The 23,446-nt window shown below is 38.0% G+C and overlaps 1 protein-coding gene and 1 non-coding gene across 2 annotated transcripts, besides 5 other annotated features; both read right to left on the bottom strand.

The window, feature by feature from the left end:
* Positions 1 to 19,278: 19,278 nt before the first annotated feature.
* On the bottom strand, positions 19,279 to 22,300 carry COX7C (cytochrome c oxidase subunit 7C). Its single transcript, NM_001867.3, has 3 exons — positions 22,111 to 22,300; positions 20,745 to 20,888; positions 19,279 to 19,573 (listed from the first exon to the last, which is right to left on the bottom strand). The coding sequence occupies exons 1-2, from the start codon at positions 22,183 to 22,185 to the stop codon at positions 20,772 to 20,774; spliced, it is 192 nt and encodes a 63-aa protein (NP_001858.1). The 5' UTR covers positions 22,186 to 22,300; the 3' UTR covers positions 19,279 to 19,573; positions 20,745 to 20,771.
* On the bottom strand, positions 19,673 to 19,735 carry SNORD138 (small nucleolar RNA, C/D box 138). Its single transcript, NR_145802.2, has one exon. It is a non-coding gene; the product is annotated as a small nucleolar RNA, C/D box 138 (small nucleolar RNA).
* Positions 21,210 to 21,875: an enhancer, noted in NCBI's record as "NANOG-H3K27ac-H3K4me1 hESC enhancer chr5:85914183-85914848 (GRCh37/hg19 assembly coordinates)". NCBI's record gives its function as "activates a minimal SCP1, AML or CMV promoter by ChIP-STARR-seq in primed H9 embryonic stem cells {active_cell/tissue: H9 hESC(primed)}" and the evidence as "EXISTENCE:reporter gene assay evidence [ECO:0000049][PMID:30033119]".
* Positions 21,876 to 22,541: an enhancer, noted in NCBI's record as "NANOG-H3K27ac-H3K4me1 hESC enhancer chr5:85913517-85914182 (GRCh37/hg19 assembly coordinates)". NCBI's record gives its function as "activates a minimal SCP1, AML or CMV promoter by ChIP-STARR-seq in primed H9 embryonic stem cells {active_cell/tissue: H9 hESC(primed)}" and the evidence as "EXISTENCE:reporter gene assay evidence [ECO:0000049][PMID:30033119]".
* Positions 22,173 to 22,262: an enhancer, noted in NCBI's record as "active region_22745". NCBI's record gives its function as "activates an Ori minimal core promoter by ATAC-STARR-seq in GM12878 lymphoblastoid cells {active_cell/tissue: GM12878}" and the evidence as "EXISTENCE:reporter gene assay evidence [ECO:0000049][PMID:35858748]".
* Positions 22,195 to 22,489: an enhancer, noted in NCBI's record as "tiled region #5947; HepG2 Activating DNase unmatched - State 1:Tss, and K562 Activating DNase unmatched - State 1:Tss". NCBI's record gives its function as "activates a minimal TATA promoter and a strong SV40 promoter by Sharpr-MPRA in HepG2 and K562 cells {active_cell/tissue: HepG2 | K562}" and the evidence as "EXISTENCE:reporter gene assay evidence [ECO:0000049][PMID:27701403]".
* Positions 22,553 to 22,632: an enhancer, noted in NCBI's record as "active region_22744". NCBI's record gives its function as "activates an Ori minimal core promoter by ATAC-STARR-seq in GM12878 lymphoblastoid cells {active_cell/tissue: GM12878}" and the evidence as "EXISTENCE:reporter gene assay evidence [ECO:0000049][PMID:35858748]".

Raw genomic sequence — 23,446 nt, 5'->3', positions numbered from 1 at the left:
GCAGTCAGGCCACAGTCTAGTTTGGAAAGGGAGCTGACGCAGTTTCTTGATAAAAGACAAGGAGTTAAATAAAGCAATTCTCCCTCCCTCCTCTTTACAAAAATATTTTGAATTTTTTTTTTGAGCTAAATTCTCCTTTGATGCAGCTCTACTCTTAGTATCAGATCTAGGTTTCACTATTTCTAACTTTTTACATATATAATGACTAGTATATCTCATTATTAGTTTACCAACAGGATTCAAAATTGTAGGAAGCACAGAGCAGCCAGTAGATAGAAATACGGGGTAATGACAACAGGCTTTACCAATAGCTGTTGCAATATTAAGAGTGATCCTCATGTAAACAATAGGAGAAACATGTTTCCTGTCCACAAATTGCTCTATTACACCGGAGTAACTAACATCTAATATGGTTGGCAAACCATTACCTCACTTGCTGACAGTGGTACAGCTCTAACTTGTGTCATAATCCTGAGCTGGCCACCTCACATGTGCAGCAGAGGTAGCTGAACACCACAGTTTTCAGGTGGGTGCTCCATCTATAAAGAAGCAGCCACCTTCCCTTCAACTCAGCCTTTACCTTATTGACAAGCCCACACTTTGCCAGCTAGTCTGCAACTCTTGAATACGTTTCAGAATGAAACAGAGATATGTTTGGCTTTAAAAGACCTACCTCCTATATCATCTTCTAAAATTCATAGCTCAAACTCAGTGCTGAGTTGGGTTCCCCGCTTGGCAACAAAATGTTTTCCATTAAATATGGAATTTTTTGTTGCTTAGTCTGTATGGATTTTCTCTTTCTTTCAAGGTAATAAAGAAATTAATGACAGAATTAGCTAGATTATTGATAATTATTGGTTTAAAAATAGACTGTGAAATATTGATATAAAAGGTATTTTTGCTGTAATAAACTTAAAATCAGCAAAGGCAGTATCTTCTTTTAGTTTGAAAAAATTATTTTTGGAGTTAAGAAAATGTATTAAATCAAATCTCTACCAACCCACCCTTAGATAATAACCCATCAGAAACAGTTTTAAAATATATATATAAGAAAATGTTGATGGAGTATGTGGGCTGAGAAACCTTGGGTAGAACACAAAATGTATCCATTTGATACAAAATAGAAATAACTATTAACTTGATCTATTTTTAAGAACTAAAAAGCAGATTCTAACATCAAAGTATATTTTACTGCAAAGCTGCAAAAATGGACTTTGAAATACCTGAGAAATTAAAGAGACAAGTCTGATTTTAATTGCATGAAACTTATAACTTTTATGGATATTATGCACTTCTGTACTCCCAAATTTATATTCTTAGAAATATACTCATTTGCAGTTTACCTTCAGGTTTACACACATACATGTGTGTGCACACATGCATGAGTACAGACAACTTACATAATCAAATTGTAAGAGAAAATGTAAGCGACAGCACTTGAAAACTGAATTCAGAACACTAAATTTTTAGAAAATTAATAATGGTAAGGGTTTAGCTCTTTGAATCAGTAAAATCTACATTATCTCATATGGTGGCCCAGATCTTAGAGCTTTGGCAGTCATTCCTTTTGCTTAGGCAAGTTCTTTCATTCATAATGGCTGTGTACAAAATCAATTCAAAATTTAATAAAACAATAATCATTTAATACACAGTTTTTGTGGGTCAAGAATTCAGGAGAAGCTCAGCCATAAAGTTTTTGCTCAAGGTGTCTCATGAGGTTGCAGTCATGTGGCTGTGGCTGAGTCAGCTCCTAAGTTTCTTTACTCACCTTACTGGTATATCATCTGCAAAAATTCAAACAGCTGGGACTGAAACATCTGGGGCTGCTTGGGCCTCTTGCTCCATCTCTGTGATCTGTGTGATTTCTCCAGCATGGAATCTTCAGGATAGTCCGGTTTCTTACATGCTAACTCCGGACCCCCAAAGAGAGAAAGAGAGCAAGCTAAGACCTTTATTATCTTTTATGACCTTTTTTTTTTAACCACAATTATTGATGGATTGAGTTAAAAATTTCTGCTCAGGTTCAAGGGGGAACATAGATGCACCATTTAATGGAGGCGTTATCAATATCACATTGTAAGAATGTGACATGGGATATATATTGCTGTGTCCAAATGTGGATAAATACAATCTGCCACACTAACAAATGTCTGGCTAAGCGTTACACTTAGAATTTTTTCTATATAATGATATTTATAACAGTAATAGAAATAGTTTTAAAATGGCAAATAAGGAATTGCCACCACCATAGAGGAAAGAGATCATTCTTTTTGATGAACATACACTCTCAGGTGACAGCTTTTTATACTTAATTGTATCCATCTCATGTGTACGTTCAGTTTCTGTGCTTCTTCTTTTTCTTATATTTATTTATTTTATTTTATTTTTTCTGAGACAGGGTCTCTCACTTTGTCACGCAGGCTAGAGTGCAGTGGCACAATCTCAGCTCACTGTAGCCTCGATCTCCTGGGCTCAAGGTATCCTCCTGCCTCAGCTCCCCCATGTGCCTGGGGCTACAGGCACGCACCACCATGACCAGTTAATTTTTTTGAGGGTTTTGCCATGTTGCCAGGGCTGGTCTTGAACTCCTGACCTCAAGCAATCCACCCTCCTCAGCCTCTCAAAGTGCTAGGATAACAGGCATGAGCCACCACACCTGGCCCCTTTCATTTTTTTGTTGTTGCTGTTTAACAGATACTTATTACCTGCTCTATAGTAAGCAGTGTATAAGAGGATGAGGTTGAAGTTATAGGCACAAAGTCATAATTGCTGTCCTCATTGAACACAATGAGAACTGTGTTTTGAATAGTTTGTAAATGAGGCAAGTCTTCAACATAAGTAGCAGCAGATTTGAATTTTAGGAGTTCATGAAGACTCTACAAGAAAAAAACTGCATAGTACCAGGTTGAGTTCAAATAAAGGTAATGTAAAGTAGGGAGACCAAATTTGCGTGTGTGTGTGTGTGTGTGTGTGTGTGTGTGTGTGTGTGTGTGATTTAGAAATAGACTCTGAAATAACTTAAAGAGATCAAATTTGCGTGTGTGTGTGTGTGTGTGTGTGTGTGTGATTTAGAAATAGACTCTGAAATATCTTAAAGAAAGAAGTTCAAAAAAGAAAAATGTTTTGAGACCGTGATGGTGGTAGTACCACAAAAAGATAATTAGCTTAGTTCTCCAAGGAAACTTACTGGAAAGTATATATCAATTTAATTATGTAAATTTGAGCATAAGTGCTTTAGTGTATATTCTATAGGAGTTGTGTGTGTGTGATAAGTCTCCTATTATCTTATAACTTTTTTTAGTGTTTTGAAAATCAAAACAATGTCTGGGACACTGCCAGAAAAAGGTATTTATTACATAAAAAATTATGATTTTATAGAAACTTAAAACCTTAGCTAATTATTAATTTTAAAAATCTAAGGTCAAAGCCCTCTTCTATTAATAGGTTTGATATTCTGGTGTATAATCTGTGCAAAATAAAGTCATAAAAGCTCATTGTTTGTAGGGACTTTAAAAATCATCTAGTCCCCAAGTTTCTCCCATGTTTTAATCCATTCCACAAAATTTCCCACCAAAGTTGTCCAGTTTTTTTTCTTAAGTAACTTCAGTGAGAGGGCAAAGCATGGCCAGCATCCAGTGATGTGGTGTTTATTTCATTTTTCAGTCTCCTTGCAAATACAGTTGATTCTCTTTATTCAAAGATTCTGCAATTGTGAATTTGCCTACTCACAAAAATTTATTTGTAACTCCAAAATCAACAGTTACTGCACTTTTGCAGTCATTCATGGACATGAGCAAAGTGGCAAAAACTTTGAATGTAATTATGTGCACGTTCCCAGTTGAGGAACAAAATGGTGCTTTGCCTTCTTGTTTCAAATCTGATACTGTAAACAAATATTCTTTCTGCAATCTATTTAGTGACACGTATTTTGCATTTTTGTGCTTTCTGTTGGTAATTTTGTTATTTAAATGGCCCCCAAGCTCAGTGCAGAAATACTGCCTAGTGTTGCTAAGTGCAAGAAGGCTGTGATATATCTTACAGAAGAAGTACATGTGTTAAATAAGCTTTGTTTAGGCATGAGTTATAGTGCTGATGGCTATGAGTTCAATGTTAATGAATCAATGATATACATTAAATAAAATGTCTTTAAACAGAAACACAAAAACATGTTTATGTATGGATCCATTGGGAAAAAAAATGTTGTGAATGGGGCTTGCAGAAACCTAACCTTGTATTTCCCCTATGAGCAATAATTCAGTATTTATTAATTCAGTGTCTGCCACAACTTTGTAGAACATAAATACTGTGAATAATGAGAATTAAGTGCACAAATAAGCATATTACAAATACCCAATAAGAGTGAGCACTGAGCTTTCCTTTGAGTATTCTCAGTAGCCTCAAATGACATTTCTGAACTTTTAATTCTTTCTCACTGTAGAAAGAATAGATCTTACGATATAGCTTCTAAATTATACTGAGAAAAAAAATCAAATAACTACAAATCATATTAGCCGTGATTATTTGGCCTAGCAACCAGAATTCTGTTGTGCTTTTCCTCTGTCAGAACTATTTTCACAAAAATAGCCACTGGAGCCAGTTTACAGTCAACCCTCATAGAAGTAACAGAGAGAAGGCAAAATTATATTCACGTTGGCTAGAGAACAAGCAGCACATGATAGAGAAGTATGATAGAAACAAAACATTTTTTTTTCTTCTTTTTTGAGACGGAATCTCGCTCTGTCACCCAGGCTGGAGTGCAATGGCGCGGTCTCAGCTCACTGCAAGCTCCGCCTCCTGGGTTCACGGCATTCTCCTGCCTCAGCCTCCAGAGTAGATGGGACTACAGACACCCGCCACCACGCCCGGCTAATTTTTTGTATTTTTAATGGATACGGGGTTACACCATGTTAGCCAGGATGGTCTCAATCTCCTGACCTCATGATCTGCTCACTTCGGCCTCCCAAGGTGCTGGGATTACAGGCGTGAGCCACCGTGACCAGCCAGGAACAAAACTTTTAAACCATTTGCTATGGTCTGAATGTTTGTGTTTTCCCCAAATTCATATGTTGAAACATAAACCTCATGATATTGGTATTAAGAGGTGAGGTGTTTGGGAGATGATTAGGTCATGAGGACTCTGCCCGCATGAATGAGATTCCTGACCTTATACAAGAGGCCTGAGGGAGCCTGTTTGCCCCTTCTGCCATGTAAGAACACATAAGACAGGCCATCTATGAGGAACAAACCCTCAAAAGACACTAAATCTTCTGGTACCTTGATCCTGGACTTCCCAGACTCCAGAGCTGTAAGCAATAAATGTCCATTGTTTATAAATCATCTAGTCTAAGGTATTTTGTTATAGCATCCCGAATGGATTAATACATCATCCCTGGATTTCATGATCAACAACTTTTTCTTTTAATTCAATGGCAATCCTTCAATAATAACCCATGGCAATTGTCTATATTCCAAATGTGTAAGCATGGCTTGACAGGGAGAGAAAATTTTGTTGTGTTTTAAGGTGTTGGTAGTAGAAAAACCAGAAAGTTGCAGCTATTGGAATGATGTGAACAGAAGCAAAAGTATACCGATGATAATTACCATATATTACATTTCCACATGCTCCCCAGCATTTTCAAATCTTGTTGTTGTTAAGCACGGCAGTGTGACTAGTCCTGGCTGATGTTTGGGCAGAAGTGGCACACTCTTCTAGTAGAAGCCTACAAGCAGGTTTCTTCTCCACTACTTCCCTTGTACTCTTTTCCCCTGACACAGTGAGCCTAAGAATTTCTATTATTGTGATGGTATCACGAGAGGACTAAACCTCTGTCATCCTGAGTCCTTAAACAAGAAGCAGACCTCTACTACCCCACCCAGCTTGATGACTAATTATCATGTAGAATAAACCTTGGTTTTGTTAAACCACCTTGACTTTGGGATTACTTTATTTCATTATTGTTACATATTAAATGCTTCTCTTTCTTCATTTCATCCTGAATACACATACAAGGTGTTCTGGGTCAGAGACAGGTTTCCTAGTACTAATTCCTCACAGTAAAGAAGTGCATTGGGCCCCCTTTGCCCAAGTCCTAACCCTTATGGCAGCATAGTAAAAGCCAGGTCAATTGACCTACATAAATGGCCAAGGAAAAATTATTTTTCCCTGCTTATAAAGAGGAAGGAGGCAGCTGTCACCTTTCCCTTCTAAAAGGATCTCTTGACTTCAACCCTTTGATAGGTAAATAAAATCTCTCCGGGAGCCAGATAGCCCATACATATCTCAACTTTTAAAACCTACCTACCTAGAGAGGTCTTCAGATTCTGGAGTTTCATCCTGTTTTGAAATGTGTTATGGTTTAGATGTTTTCCCCCTCCAAACTTCATGTTGAAATTTGATCCCCAATGTGGCACCTCTTAATGCCATCACAATAGCAATTAAATTTCAACATGAGTTTTGGAGGGGAAATTCAAAACATAGCAGAGGCCTTGTTACCTGGTGTCTAAGTGTCTATATGTCAATATGAATGCATCTAACAAGGGTCTCATACGTTCAAATGTGAGGGAGGCTCAAAGCAATAGTAAGTATTGAGAAAAAAGGGCTTCCTCAGAATAAATTCTGTACAAGTCATAGTTTCTATAAGAAGCTGGGGACTCCAACTCCTTCAAGTCTGACTCAATCTTGGTATAATAAAGTAATTTAACTACATGGACCTGGCCCAGAATGTGCCTTAGGGGGACAAACACCTCTCTGGGCTTGGCTTCTGCTGTCACCTTCATCGTACTTTTCTCTAGTGATGATTTCCAGCAGTTGTCATTCAAACTGACTGTAAATTAGACTTCGAATTTAAAAGACCCAAAGCAACTTCAAATTTTTCCCTTTAAAGGGTAAAGTAAAGCTCTTAAACTGAGGTTATGTTATTACTTAATTAAGAGAAATTAAATGAAGATCTAAATATCAGCTATAAAATCTTTCTTTTTGTTTTCTTGTTTTGTTTTGTTTTTGAGACGGAGTCTGGCTCTGTTGCCCAGGCTGGAGGGCAGTGGCACGATCTGGGCTGACTGCAAGCTCCACCTCCCGGGTTCAGGCCATTCTCCTGCCTCAGCCTCCCAAGTAGCTGGGACTACAGGTGCCTGCAACCACACCCGGCTAACTTTTTGTATTTTTGGTAGAGACGGGGTTTCACCATGTTAGCCAGGATGGTCTCGATCTCCTGACCTCGTGATCCGCCCACCTTGGCCTCCCAAAGTTCTAGGATTACAGGCGTGAGCCACCACGCCTGGCCAAAATCTTTCTGAATGTAAATTCTAATCCAGTTTTCAAGGGGAATCTGAGAGTCTCTTGAGGAACCAGGGCATCATGTTCTAAACATTTCTCCTTCTGTGGACAGAAAGCCTAACAGAACACAATATAAAATAACATGAACTTTATCCATGGCTTCAGTCTTTTTTTTTTTCTTCAATTTAGCTCATCAACACCAAGCCACAGGGGTCTGTCTTCAAAATCTTAACATAGCAGGGAGAGGAACATTTTATCTTCCTGATGAAAATAATAAAAATAATTCTTATCTCCCATAAAATTCCTATCCTCAAAAAGTTGGGGTAAATGGTGACTGTACTTTGTGCATATCGTTGTGGTATTTCACATGGTGTTTGGTTTTTTCTCACCTGTAATTTAGTTTGACATCTGGGAAGAAATATCTGAAGCATAACTAGTTATCATTTCCCACCTCTTAATAATAGTATAAAGTATTTGTAGGCATTGTGAATTTAATTCACATACAAACAATATGCTTATGGATGGTAAGCATATACTAATTTCCACATCAAAAATTAAAAAAAAAAAGAAGCTTTTTGCTGTGTAAGTCTTTTGACAGAGCCTCTTTTAATGGTTCATTTTTTTTTCTCATAATTATATTTCTGGCATAGGTTTGGCTCCAAACAAGAGCATTTATCTTAGCCTTGATAAGGATCCAGGTGCTAAATGATAACTTGAAAACTGAATAGAGGGAAAATTTAAATAATTTAGAAGGCAGACACATAGAGAAATAAGGGATATTTGGAAGGTGAAGACACGCAAATAAGAGAAACTGTTTACAAAATAATGTTGTAAACATCATTTAGGGGAATTATTGATTCTACAGCAACCTCTGCCTTCTTTCCCACCCAGTGTGAGAGAACCTATTGGGGAGATTAAGAGCTTATGTGGCATGAACCAGGCCTGAGTTCAAATCCCCTTGTGTCATTTAATAGGTACCATGTCCTTGAGCATATCTGGACACTCTCTTAGATACAGTTTGTTGTTATGTAAAAATAGAGAGAAGGATCCTTGACTTCTCTCATTCTCCTACTCCTTTAACAACCAATGTGCCAGGAAATTCTTGTCAGGAAATCCTATTAGCTCTACCTTCAAAATATCTAATGGCTAAATTTATGCATCAACTTGACTAGTCCATGTAGTGCCCAGATATTTGGTTAAACATGATTCCTGGGTATGTCTGTGAGGGTGTTTCTGGAAGAGATTAACATTTGAATCAGTAGACTAAGTAAAGCATATTTTCTCCCCAACATGAGTGGAACTCATCCAGCCTGCTGTAGGCCTGAATAGAATAATAGGCTACGATAGAATTCTTTCTTTCTGCCTGTTTTTGAGCTAAGATGTCACTCTTCTGCTTTTAGATTTGGACTTGAACTGAAACTTCACCATCAGCTTTCCTGGTTCTCAGGCCTTCAGACTTAGACTGGAATTATACCATCAGCTTGCCAACTTCAGATCTTGAAATTCTCAACTTCCATAATCACATGAGCCGATGCCTTATGGTCAGTCTCCCCATTCCTCTCCAGATAGATAGATAGATAGATAGATAGATAGATAGATAGATAGACAGATAGATAGATAGATGATAGATAGATGTAGATGTCTATCTCCTATCGGGTGTGTTTCTCTAGAGAACCCAGGCTAATACAAAATAAATCCATGTTGGTTCAAGAGCCCATTATCCTTTGTCTGAATACTGAATATGCTTCTCCTTTGTCTTCTGATTTCAATCTTGCTTCCTACTGTCTTGGGTTCTCAATGTAGCAGCCACAATGAACCTTTTAAAATTTAAGTTAGATTGCAAGTTTTAAGATCTGTCCTTCCTTTCCTCTAAAGTCTCCACTAATTCCCCTTCTCATTCAGAGTAAAAGACAAGGTCCTTACAAAGGCTTACAAGGCTCAACTTTATCCAGCCCCCAGTGACTTATCTCTTACTAGGCTGTATCTCATTGGTATACTCTAGCTACTCTGACTGTTTTACTATTCTTTAAGCCTGATAGACAAAACTCTGCCTTAGAAACACTCTTTTCTCAGATTTCTCAAGTTTTTGCTTAAATATTAACTTCTCAATAAAGCCTTCATTTCCACTGCAACCTCAACTGGGCACGGTGATGCATGCTAAGATCATGCCACTGCACTCCAGCCTGGGCAACAGAGCAAAACTCTCTCTCTCTCTCTCTCTCTCTCTTTCTCTCTCTCTCTCTCTCTCTCTATATATATATATATGTATATATACTTTGTATAACCAACCCTTTTCCGTATCTATGAGCTCAGATTCTTCACATGCCTTAAGACATGAATTCCAAAATATTGTTTCAGATACACTAGGCTTCCAGCCGCTGACCCCATTCCTCCCATTACCCTTTTTCAGCCTCTTTTCCAGTACTTACGGCATCTTAATTTGTACTCAATTTATGTGCATAAGCATCTATATTTTCCTGAGTTTCTGCACTCCTGAAAGATGGGGAATACGTACTTCTCTTAGTGTTTCTCTCAAAGGCCACTACAGTACCTTAAACATAGGAGTTAAATAGATATTGAGTGAAATGAATATATGTCTTTGTCAAACAACTCCTTGGGAAGAGCACATAGAGTTTCTGGACTGACAGTTACTGCATTGATGGAGTACTGACATCCTATGTACCTATGTAAATGGGGCTGCCTTCAACTTTAGAGATCAGCATTCATCTTATTAAATATTAAAATGAGCTCTCTGTAGAGTACTTTTTTTACTGTCATTTGATTAACTGCACTATAAAGTTATTTTATAATGTCAGAGAAAGTGCGAAGTATTCAAGACATCACAAGACTACCACAGGTCTTAGAATACAGAGGCATTTAGATTTTAAGACCAGAACTAAATTAACTATGGAAATAGAGTAGTGAAAGCACTTTTCACATTGGCTGGCCCCGTGAAGAATTTTCTACTCTCATTTCTTTTACTGAGTCACTATATAAAAATCCAGTGTTGTATTTTGCACATGTACACAATATAATAGAATTCCTAAAGAATCTAATGAAGTGCACAAGTGTAAGAAGCCCATTGCTGAAACAGGACAATTAGGGACAACAGGACACATGATTTTTCTGCATTTTATTTTCAAATATCTCTTAAACTGAATAATGTTCTAAACCTGATTGAACCTTCATATTCCCATTCTCAGATTACTTGTTTCTGGTTATTCTTCTCCACAGCTTCTCTTCTTCCCAGGTCATCAGGCAGGTAGTTGCAAATATAATATTGCTCTTGTCATTCATATGCTAAAAATTGTAAAGGGCTGTATCCCACCATCACTTCTAGACCTTAAGTTGTCACATAAACAACTCACCCATCCCACTCCCACCCAGGACCTTTCTTCTTTGCCACACACATGTCTACCAAGTCTCCTCGAGGGTACTCAATAAGCCAAGGACTTCTTCATACTTCACAAATCTTAGCTATTTTCTTATCTTGAACTGTGTTCATAATCTCCCCTTTGGTTGGCATGCTCGTCCATTGAATTCGCTTCCACAGACACTTAGCAAGTATTTACTGTTTCCCAGAAACTGTGTTAGGTAACAGACACAAAATGTAAATATGTCACAGTTGCCTTCAAGGATACTTCATCATTCTTTTAATCTTTATTTGTCAATTTTTTTCTTTTGTCTTTTCTTTAACACTACTTAAGATCCTCTGAGACAAAAAATTTTCACCTCACCTGATAATGCTTATTCTTTTACTCCATACATCTTTTTATTCCATATTCCACAATTTTTTAATTATACTATGTCATCTCTAATTTCTTAGGTCAGGTTTTCTCTGGGAAATGCTTTGACAGTGCTTGAACTGATATGAATATTCACATATTCTAAAATAACATCATTTAGTAGCATATACACAAAGCATCATCTCTATATTCTGAAACTTTTATATAATAAATATATATAATATGAATTTCTAGAAAAGACTACAATAACCTATGGTGAAAATCGTAACATTTATTGCTTCTGGAAGTTGGGGACAGGGATTGACTGGCAAAGGACATGAGAGAACTTTAAAGATTAAGGTAACGTTCTGTATTTTAATAGGCATTTGCATTATACAGATACATTTGTCTAAACTCATTGAACAATTATGATTTTGTGCATTTCGTTGTATGCACATTTTACCTTTCTCTGTCTTTGATTTGTATTTATTTCTTAGCTGTTATATACCTTTCTTCCAGTTCCTTTATTAAACTTTTAGGCAAATCTATCCTTAGGCATCTTACAATTTAAAAGATTACTGTGTTTTTCATGTATTTTTTCTCCCCGTTTGGTTGACTCTTGTTTCCCATCGCTTCCCCATTCTGTTCCTGTTCTAAATTTTTGAATTTCTAATTTATGGTGTTTTTTCTCCCCTAATATTTGCAAATGGTTGTTTGAGGTTAATTCAGATTAGGTTGTGTTAGGGATTTTTTCTGCTGCATGAATGGTATTTATTAGGGGCAGAATTTTCATCAGCTGAAATAAAATGTTAGGCTTCTAAATTTCTACTTTATTCTTATAATAACTTTATGTGACTGTCATCTGTCATATTTTTGCTTTGATTTTTTATGTGCTAATATAATTATTATTAACCTTTGAGAATTTGAGGAAGATAACTAGGTTTTTTTGTTCAAGGGTATTTCACTTGATATGGTGAAATATTATAGTTTCTTTAACCAATGTACTTGTTTGGTTGGGAAAAACTTGGTGTCTTCTGATTTTGTGACCCTCTTTTTGTTTTAACAGGAATATTCATTTCCCCCTTTTGCTTCCTTTTTCTTCTTTTACCTCTAAGGCACCAAGGGCGCAATCTTCTTGACACTTCTATTTACTTGGAAGTGGTGCCATTCTGAAACTCTTGCCTTGGGCTCCATTGATTTTCAAGTTCCTGTCTTTCAATTCCCCATCAGTCACCTACAAGAGCTCAAACTAACTCTCAGTATTTTCTTGCTCTGAGTGGCACTTGGTTTGAGCAATTTTATCTGTATTTTACCATCCCCATTCTCCCTACCCTACATCCCTCATCTATATTCCCATCTTGCCCTCATCTCTGCTTGTCTCCCATTGGGTGTAGGCTCTAGATACAATTTTGCTTGTCTCAAGTGTTTATTTTCCTATTGGTAGGTAATTTAAAATCTATTTCCTAGCTACATTAAAGGTATAGGTTATGAGTGAATTTTCTTTTCCTGACAATCAGCATGATTTTTTTTGGAGGATGTGAAGGGAGATTTAGATTTAAAATAAGTCCATTTTTTTCCTATGAAAACATGGAAATACTTAGAATTCCTTTTCTAAAATCCAGATAATTTACATTAAATCCCACAATGAAAAACATTGCAAGCCATAGTCTTGCTGTAAGTTCATTGTACTCTGCATCCAAAAGTAATGGATTTCAGAGCTGTGTAATTCAGAACTATTTCCCCAAAGCGCAGACTCTTAGTAAAAGGCAACATTTGGGAATTTCAGACCATCTGTTGTATAATTGGTAATGAAATAATGGTACCAAGATTAAGCAGAATTAGTTCTGCTATACTGAGTGTATACAACCCAATTAGTCAATTTTTGGTGTTGGTAAAATCCACAATTTCCCAAAACAGGTGTATATATATATATATGGGTGAAAGGAACTCTACGGGTGGTCCAGTAACTGAAAAGGGAAACTATGACCACTGAACCATCAGAAATTACCATCTGATGGGTTAAAAAAACAGTAAAATTCAGTAATTTCATATGGTTCAACTTAGTATATATTCTGTCTGGGGAAAATAAACAATCACTTTTAAACAATTGTTTTGGTAGCTAGTATGAAGGCTGGAGCGTGAATAAAGATTTCACACTAGGCAGTTTCATAGATGGTATAAAATCCCTCTCACAACATAATGAATGGGAAATTTTTTTGATAATACTAAGCTAATTAGGGTTAAGATAACCCTGATAAATTTATCAATATATGGGTACTTAACAATCACCTCCTGGTCCTCCTTAGAGAGGGATGCATCAAGTAGAGAACTTCCTAGACTGGTTTCTAATGCTTTTAAACTCGAAGATGCCATTAAATCTGATTAGTATTCTTCCATGCCTTCATCTATCTAAATATATTTGTTGAAAGCTTAATATTTACTAAGCATAGTGCTATGTTTTGGAATCCAGCAAAGAAAACACACAAAGCTTATTCTAAAAAATACAGACCCCTATTCAACCCATAATAATTATGCTATCCACCTTTTGTTAGAGCTGGGAAAATTTGGGGGGAGGAGTGAATTTTAGTAGGAATAATCTGCAAAATTCAAAGTTGAGATGACTGTACAGGAATGTAACACAAAGCTGTACTGTTTTACAGTGATACAGAGGTACTGAACAGGAAAGCACGAGGGCTCTGGCATGATGCTGTGTCCCTCTGGAAGAAGAGACTCACTTTCCAATTTTTACAAAAGTATACAATGGGTAAATAGAGTCCATGAAAATGAGAGATAAGGTGGAAATGGCTAGTAGGTAGTTGCTCAGAGCTGCATCTGAAAACCACTTTGAAAGCCCAAGATGACTTATCTCCATCATTCTGGCCCCTGTCCACACATGAAAAGTGCTGAAAAGAGATCTTACCACCTCTGAGTCAGGCTTTTGTGTGGTACCCACATTTGTAATTGTAGATACAATTCACTTTAATTGGGAAGAGTCCTTAAAAGATCATCTAGTTGACACAATTCTTTGACTGAAGAATCAGAGAAGTAGATAAGTGATACTTTTGAAGGACATATGAAGTGCTTAAGTATTCTGAAGGTAGGACAACTTTTACTGCAGTAACTAATGATCCCCAAACCCCAAATGCTTATAACAATGAAAATTTCTTGCTCACTCTATACATCTGACATGGGGCTACACTTACAGAGTCTTTCAGGAACCTAGGCTGATGGAGGCTATATCCCTGTAGCAGGAAGAAGGGAAGTTGGTGAAGGGTATACTGCCTTTTAGAGCTTTCATGTAGAGGTAATGCATGTAACTTCTCAGTTTTTTATTGTCAAAGCAAAGGGGTTAGATTTTGATCCTATGTGTACAGAAATAGAGCTGTCATATTTATGAAAAGCCTTAATGATTACTATACCAGGTTAAGGAAGGAAATGTGGGTACCACACAAATCAACTATACATTTTTTGAATTATATACTCAGTAAAAAATCATCACTGTATTAAGATATATGGAAAGTGGCTATCTTCCCTCTGGGTTATAACGTTACAATAGCTATGATAACAAAACACCATTTGATAATAGATGAAGTTTTTAAAAAGGTTTTGATGTAGGCAGAGTATAAATCATATAAAAGCTCATATTATTATTTTCTATTGAAAGGAGACAGAAAGAAAAAGCATAAACGGTATTTCTGCTCTATTCTATATAGCTTACTCTAAAGACCTATGCTGTGATCTTTATTTATTGGAAACACTAAAATGAAGGCTTATTACATTTTATGGCATTCCAGTCCATCTTTTTAGTATAGTATATAGAATAATTGCAGCAGGCAGTGTCTTTTGCATACCCAATAGCCACTTTCTCTTCCCTTTCTGGTAGAATCCTGACTTGTTTCAGTATCTCCTCTGCCCACGTAAGACTTGTGAGAAAATGCTAATTGATCAAATTTAATCATTGTCATGCTATTCCCTTGCCCGTGTTATATTCAGAAGTGAATTTATCACTTTTCTGGACAGTGACTAATGAGGGATAGTCTGAAGGAAAGCTTTCTTCACTTTGAAAAATAACAAAGACAGTAATTTTTCTTGCTGGGTATTGTCAAGTCTGTATGGGATAACTGGAACTGTAGCAGCCATCTTATGAGAATGAAAGAAATGGTTTAGAAAAAACAGGCTGAGGAACTTGGAGGGCCCTAAAATTCCTGAGCTCCATCTTTTGTTACACAAGATTAAAAAAAATAAAAAATTCCCCAGTTCTTTAAGCCAGTGCTTCTTAAAATGCTGGCTTGATATAAGATGAAGAGCTTTCCTGGAATGTATATCAACACACTTTCCTTCATTAAGGGTTTGTCTGCAAAGAAAAAGAGATATCAGATAGACTAAACAGTGGTGACATAGTTGAGTTACATTTTGGTGCAAATTTAAACTCATTTTTTTTCAACTGGATTATTTCAATACATTTATGTTTGGTGGGAGAACCAATTTCCAACTATCCAGGAAAAATTCATTTTTATTCATAAAGCATTGAAACATACATTTAGTGCGTAAGAGGCCTAGAATTTGTTTTTAGGTAATTTTTATTCTTGGCTTCAGATTATTGAAAGGATTAATAGAATAGAGTGTTAATGGATCACCAGCTAAATTATAGATGCAGGATACATGAATAAAGAAGGCTCTCTGGGCTCAGAAAGATCACAAGCTGGTATGAAAGGTAGATAAGGAAATCAGTAATTACAGTACCTGCTGAATTATAAGGCTGTTTACAGGGTGTTAGAGATTTATGTGGAGTGTGTTAAATCAGGAAGGGACTGGGTTTGGTGGCACATGCCTATAATCTCTCAAAGGAGGAGTAATTGCGGCCAGGAGTATGAGACCAGCCTGGGCAATACAGTGAGACTCAGTCTCCTCAAAAAATAAAAAGTACTAGCCAGGGATGGTGACAAGCCCCTGTAGCCACAACTACTCCAGATGCTGAGGCAGGAGGATCCCCTGGAGGGTGGCAGCCAGCTATGATTGTGCCACTGTACTCCAGCCTGGGTGACAAATCGAGACCCTATCTCTTAAAAAAATAAAATAAAAAGGGAAGGCTTTATAGAAAAGGTGGCACCTGAGCTAAATTAAGACTTGGAGGTGGTACATAAAACTGTGTGATATGGCTGGGATGAGGCTGAAACTATAGGGAAGTGACCATTGTCATGGTGAGGTGTCTTACAGTGAGTAAAATGATGACTTGCATTTTAGCACTATCATTCTGGCATCACTTTTGAAGACACAGTGTCTACAGCACAGACCAATCTATTAACTATTGCAGAATTGCTCTGGGATCAACTTTAACGACTTACACAATGCCCATTATACTTCCCCCATCTCGCTTGTTTCAATTAAGCACTCTACACTAAAAGCTTAAGAAAATTTGCCTCAATTTAGGTGTATTTTCTTTTTTTTTTTTTCTGTTTTCTTTTTTGAGACAGTCTTGCTCTGTCTGCCAGGCTGGAGTGCAGTGGTGTGACCTCGGGTCACTGCAACCTCTGCCTCCTGGGTTCAAGCAATTCTCCTGTCTCGGCCTCCTAAGTAGCTGGGATTGTAGGCGCCCACCACTACACCCAACTATTTTTTTGTATTTTTAGTAGAAATGGGGTTTCACCATGTTGGCCAGGCTGGTCTCGAACTTCTGACCTCGTGATTCACCCACCTCGGCCTCTGAGTGCTGGGATTACAGGTGTGAGCCACTGCGCTGGGCCTCTATTTTCATTTTTAATCTTCACAACTACACCAAATTAGATAAAAGGGAGGTACAGATTGTCGAAGACGAGGAATTTATCAACCCTGGCTTTGAATCCAGCCAAGACTTAGTTCTGAGCCCACATTCTTAACCTCTATGGTCTCTGCAGCAAAACCTAAGACATTTTGAATTACTTCCTTCATTGTGGCCATAACTTAATTACGGAAACAGTGATAGTGACTTCTCTTTAAAACAAATCCTGGATTCTAACCAAAATTCCTATTCCAGTATTCTAGTGAGTTAGGGAAGCATCTGCAAAAGGTACAAACTTTTTACTTGGTCCTGATTAGTTTCACATGGGCATTTGTGGGTTCATCCAGTGTAATTTTTTTTTTTTTCCCCGAGAATCTGGATTTTTATGGAGACCTCCTGGTTTTAAATATTGGCTTGAATTTTAAAAACCAGTTTAGGGAAATAGAAAACTGAACTACTGTTATGGTTAATTTTGTGTCAACTTGGCAAGGACACAGTGCTCAAATATTTGGATCAACAATCCTCTAGATATTTCTGTGAAGGTGTTTCTTGAATTATCATGAGTTTACCATTTAAGTCAGTGGACTTGGAGTAAAGCTGATCCTCCTTATGTGGCTAAGCTTCTTGAATTCGTTGAAGATCTTAATGAACAAAGACTGACCACAAGGAGGTCCTCCCGCAAGGAGGAATTCTGACAGCGACTGCCTTTGCCGAGTCTCCAGCCCGCGGGCATACCCATATTTTCAACCCAAGCCTCCAGAATCAGATGACAATTTTAATTTTTTCTATGTGCATCCTCTTGATCTGCTTGTCTAGAGAACCCTAACACAGAAACTAAGCAGTTATACACCCTCTACCACTTACAATAAACTTACGCACTTACAGCCAGCCTGCTGAAGGCTTTTTATGGGGATGGCACAATCTGTACTATTACAAGACAGGCAGAGGAGGTTTTTTTCTCACTCACATATATCCCTCAAATACTTTTCTAGCTAGACCTAGCTACCCATAACTGTTACTATTGATTCCTAATATATATTTGAACATCCTCTCCAAAAAATTCATATTCATTTAGGACTTGTGAGAAGTTTTTATATAACTTACTGGATCTCAAAAACAATCCAGTGAGGTAAGCCTTACCATAATTTCCAGGAAAACCAAAATCATCTAACGAACCTTAAACTCTTACTCTTGCTTCTACTTTGAGACGGAGTATCGCTCCATCACCCAGGCTGGAGTGCGATGGCATGTTCGCAGCCCAATGCAACCTCCGCCTCCCAGGTTCAAGTGATTCTCCTGCCTCAGCCTCCTGAGTAGCTGGTACTACAGGCACATGCCACCATTCCCAGCTAGTTTTTTTGTATTTTTAGTAGAGACGGGGTTTCACCATGTTGGCCAGGATGGTCTTGATCTCTTGACCTCGTGATCCGTGCGCCTTGGCCTCCCAAAGTGCTGGGATTACAGGCATGAGCCATCATGCCTGGCCGCTTCAACTTTTTCCAAAGATAAAAAACCTTTATGTTCCATACAAGGAACTCTCTCAATACAGGATACCTGATTTATCACTGAATAATCAAAAAACAATGACATACAAGTACAGGGGATATATGAGCAAAGTCATATAAATTAAGGTTGCACCATAATTAAGCAGTTGTCAGGTGACTGTTGAAGAGCCTAAAGTGAGGCAGTAGTCGAGAAACAAAAATATCAAAATGTTAAGTTTTTAGCAAATCAGTAGTTGTACAGAAGGGCCATATAAGAAATCTAATGATATAGTGGGGAGTGGCCTACACAGCTATTTTCTTCAATGAAGAGATATAGAACCACTCAGAACAATTTTTCAAAAATCCAGAAATACACTTTTATGGAAATACTGTTTTTTAAATGTTGATTTAAAAAGAGCATCACCCTTTCACCAAAGTCTAGAGGCCAAACAGACTACCAGTTTGGAGTGTTTTACAGCATTTTAACATCACTGGTATTCCAACAGTGAGCAGAGGAAAATACTCAGTAGCTAGTTACTGTCCCACATCTTACACAAAGTCCTAAAATGTAATGACCTCATTACATTTTAAATGGCAAGCAGCATTTCACTACTTACAAAATAAATTCGATTCACATATACAATTACTAATCAGAACTACCTTTTATCCCATTTCTGCTAGGCTATATGATAGTCAAAGCACCAGAATAAATTGGGAGTACTTCCTATACTACAAATTTCATGGTATTATATTCAATTTCAAATATTCTTTTATTCATTCTAAATAAGACCAATACTGGTCACCAAAACACTTACTGAGGCAAACACTTCTGTTTTAGGTTACAGACCTAGAGGAAAAAAAACAAAAATGAAGCTCCTAAATATCTGATTAACCACAACTTCAATTTGAATAAATTAAGTTTTCTTGATGATTAATCAATCATGGGAAAAAAAATTTACTATGTCAAAGGGCAAGAGCAAAAGTATTTTTTCCAAGTTAACGATAAAAAAAAAAATCATAGAAATAAACCTAAGATCGATTTGTATTTCCCTTTTATTATATAAATTACCAACAAAATCCTGACCTGGGAATCAAAAATTTAATATAACCTCAGTTTAACACCATTAAATAAGCTAAATCACAGAGAGTAATACTGGAATGTTACCCAAATAATAAAGTAGGCAAATGGCCAATTATTACATTCCCTATTTCAAAAAAGAGGCATTAAGCATTCACGTCATAAGTTTATTGACAAACATATCTAGTATGGCATATGAGTTCTAGTTTGATCCACTTCCAGAGGCTGCACCTCTTAAAATGCTCTTCATATCTGCAAAATAAAAACAGAAATTAATGGCATTTTAAAAATCCCATTCATTTAACAGAAATCATGTAGTTTCATGAAAATATTTTCTATCAGTTTGAGTAGTACATCAGAAAGCGTTTACAGTATCATGAATTCATTCATACTGATTTGCTTCATCACATGCACCGCAACCTTTCCGCATTAGTAGCTTGGATAAGTTATTCCCCCTCTAAACTATGACACTCTTTCCAATCATCCTAGTGTTCTATAGTATTACTCTGAGAAACTCTGATGACAATTAAGCTAAATATTTTATCCACACACAGCAAATCTGCTAACCTTCCAATATGAACGACTCCTTTGAGCATATATTAACATATCCCCTTGACACAAGGCTTCTCAACCTCAGCACCACTGGTAATTTTGCCCCCAAGTTGGAACGATCAAAAATGTCTCACATTGCCAAATGCCCCATTGTGTTGTAAAATCATCCTCATTTAAGAACCACTGCCTTAATGAGGAAAGTATATTTAAAAGTTTGAGTTTCCCAACATGGCTGAGTTGGTGAGGCACAGATTTACAATTGCATAATTATCTGGGACTTATGTATCAAGGAGCACTAGAAGGGTTTTATCTTCAGGGATTTTTCACAACTTAAACAAGTATTGTAAGCCAATTTAAAAACTAGGAGCACAGTGACCACTTTCTAAAAGAAATGGAAATGTTTATAGTGTTTTAAAAGACACATTCTCAGCTACTGTTCTAGTAACAGTGTTCAAGATAGAGTAACATTAATCAGTTTATCAGTTTTACCTGGTTAAAAGTGTGAGTTCTGCAACAAGAAACTGCCTGGGCAAGAGTCCTGGTCCACCATTATACTAGTTATGAGATGTTGAACAACTTAACATCTCTGTGTCTCAGATGGGGTTACTATCATCCGCCTCACAAGCTTGCTAGAGAACATGAGATATCGATGTAAAGTGTACCTGATAAGCAGTAGTATTCAATAAACACTGGCCATTATTGAAATATTTTTATATAGGTTTACAACTAGTCTCCACCAATGCCACATCTACACATAACCTCAGGAATCAGCCCTACACAACAATGTATTTGTGTGTGTGTTCTGGGTGATGGGGAAGAGGCTACTTAATAAAAAGGCCTGCTTTAACATGATTAGAAATCCACTAACTACCTGTTAAATGGAGGAACTGAAACATCCTTATGTTTTAAGCAGTTGGTGTCTTACTACAAGGAAGGGTGTAGCAAATGCAGATCCAAAGTACAAACACATCTTAGCTAGTAACGACCACTTGTTTTCCACTGAAAATGGCAAATTCTGTTGGAAAAAAAGAGAAAAAGTAATCGAAATTGAATCTCAAATCATCTGCTTAATAATCAAAATACAAGTATACAGGAAATGCTAGTTATATTTTACATCATCAGGTTAACATATGCCATAAATCATAACATCGTTTTAAACATTTATCTTTCAAATCCTATGACCTTCATCACAAAACACTACATGGCAAGAAATAATCTGGCTTTACTAAGCACTAGGCAATGAATGGTCTTGAGGACTCAAACGTCAAATAGTGAGAAGTTTCTTACTTTAGAAAATCGAAAAAACTACTGTCCTAAGTAGTCACCTTAGAAGATACATGGCAATGTTAAGTGCAATACAGCTCTTTTTTTTTCTTTTTTTTTTTTTTTGAGACGGAGTCCCGCTCTGTCCAGGCTGGAGTGCAGTGGCCCGATCTCGGCTCACTGCAACCTCCACCTCCCGGGTTCAAGCGATTCTCCTGCCTCAGCCTCCCGAGTAGCTGGGATTAGAGGCACACACCACCACGTCCGGCTAATTTTTTTGTACTTTTTAGTAGAGACAGGGTTTCGCCATGTTGGCCAGGCTGGTCTGGAACTCCTGACCTCAGGTGATCCGAACGCCTTAGCCTCCCGATTACAGGCGTGCGCCACCGCACCTGGCCCACAGTTTTTTTTGTTTGTTTGTTTTTCATTACCAAGCACCTTCTCTGGCCTTTATGACTAGGCCTCGTGTGACCCTCCGAGATTGTTACTGCTATGTGGTTTAAGTTATTTACACCTGAGGCCAAACCCAGCCTTAACTGAGGTGAAGGGTTAGTACTTCTAACTTAGGCAGCTAGTTTAAAAAGCCTGTTCCATAACCAGAGGCCCTGATTTCCTCATGATTTTCCAATGACCTTCATTTCGGGTCCGATGACCTCCAGCTCGGATTTAACCAACACACCTACAGCCGTGGCCTCCCGGAGCCATCTCAGGGCTTTCTGCGGGGCGGGGGAGGGGGCGTCAGGTGGCTGATGGAGGCAGGGCTTCCGGATCTACCTGCCCATTCCTTTAGCGGCTACGCGCTAGGATGCCCAGCTTCCTCACTGGTCCTTGGGCTAAGTGGAATGCTAGTCTGCGTCTCAGCCTGGTTTCTGGCTATCATCTCCCACGCCACAGCCCGGAGGCGGCCTTGCAGGTGCGCGAGTCACAGCCAAGCGCCCCCTCCCCCAACGAAGCCGTGCCCCTTACACACTAACCTTCCCAGGGCCCTCCTCATAGTGGCTCCTACGGACCACAGAGGTTGTGAACCTCCGGATGCTCTGGCCCAACATACCGCTGCTGGAAGCTCTGCGAAAGGCGCAGAGAATGAGGACAGATGAAATGGCGGCACCTCACCAAGACCTTTTTTTTCACGACCTTGTTCCCCGGTGCGCAAGGACTGAAAAGAAAGATGGGAAATGGGGCGGAGCCTTGAGGAAACGCGACAAAGCGGAAATCGCCCTGGATTGTGGGAATTGTAGTTCAGACCATTGCGGAGCCTTATCAGCCCCCGAAGGATTGTGGGAAATGTAGTTTCGCGCCAGGCTTAGGTCTAGGATTCCTGGGGCCTGTTACCGGAAACGATTTTATTGAATCAAGTGAAGCAGTTTCACCCCGTATACTCTAGTCTGTTGAAAAGGACAATAAACCCATCCCTTTTCTCTTCTTTCTTTCTTTTTTAAAAATAAAGTATATGCTAGGTGTCAATGATTTCGAGGACTTTTGCCAATGCTGAGAGATATGTGCTAATGATCCTAGCTGAAGAAACAAAGCATAAACACAAGTAATCAAACAACGTGCAGCACAAAGGACTTCAGAGAGAAAACTGAAATGCTAAGGGAATGATCACTAAAGATAATGGGAATCGAATAAAAAAGAAGGAAGAACAAAGGGCAGGGAAAACTCAAGTCTGGTATGAGTACAGCATGTGTGAGGAGTAGAAGGGAAAAGTGGCCTCTGACACCTGGAGCTAGCCTGGACTAGGAACTGGTGTCCGCCTGATGAACGTACACAATTTCAGCAAGCATTAGCATCCAACAAGACCACTCTGACAGTGTTCATTAAGAAAAGAATATGATCACTGTGTAATCACATCTGAACACAGATAAAACATTGTCCAAGCCACGAAAATGACCGGACATCACCCTATCTGGTTTAATTTGATGACTTCTGCTTCTTTACCAATTACAATCTTAGCCTTGATCTAGCCTTTCTTCCTCCTAAGATTTGGTAAGGTAGCCAATATTAGGAGAAAAAAATCCCAAATCCAATAAGCATTTTCTAATATTTTACAGAGAACCCTTACTGCAATGAATAATAAACCCCGTTTGTCAATTACATGTGTGCTTCTGGTGGTCTTTGACCAGAAGGTATTGAGAAGAAACCAGTGATAAATGAACCTGGGAAAGTGGTGTTAGGTTAGATTGTGAAAGGCCCTGGTAACCTAAATGTTATGTTATTCATCTGTGGGGGAGTGTATATTGCCTCACGTGTCTCATTTATATAGCATTAGGAAACAATTCCAATAAGACCTAAGGTTTGCTTTGAAAAGGG

Source organism: Homo sapiens, chromosome 5 (genome assembly GCF_000001405.40).
Source record: "Homo sapiens chromosome 5, GRCh38.p14 Primary Assembly".
NCBI classification, from domain to species: Eukaryota; Metazoa; Chordata; class Mammalia; order Primates; family Hominidae; genus Homo; species Homo sapiens.
The sequence above is the reverse complement of the archived record's forward strand: the minus strand, read 5'-3'. Positions and strand labels throughout refer to the sequence as shown.

What these genes read in the sequence shown, in the direction of transcription:
- COX7C (NM_001867.3), bottom strand. Translation starts at nt 22,185, where the DNA reads ATGTTGGGCCAGAGCATCCGGAGGTTCACAACCTCTGTGGTCCGTAGG. An exon ending in ATGAGGAGGGCCCTGGGAAG is followed by an intron (nt 20,889 to 22,110) that starts GTTAGTGTGTAA and finishes TTTTTCCAACAG; the next exon opens with AATTTGCCATTTTCAGTGGA.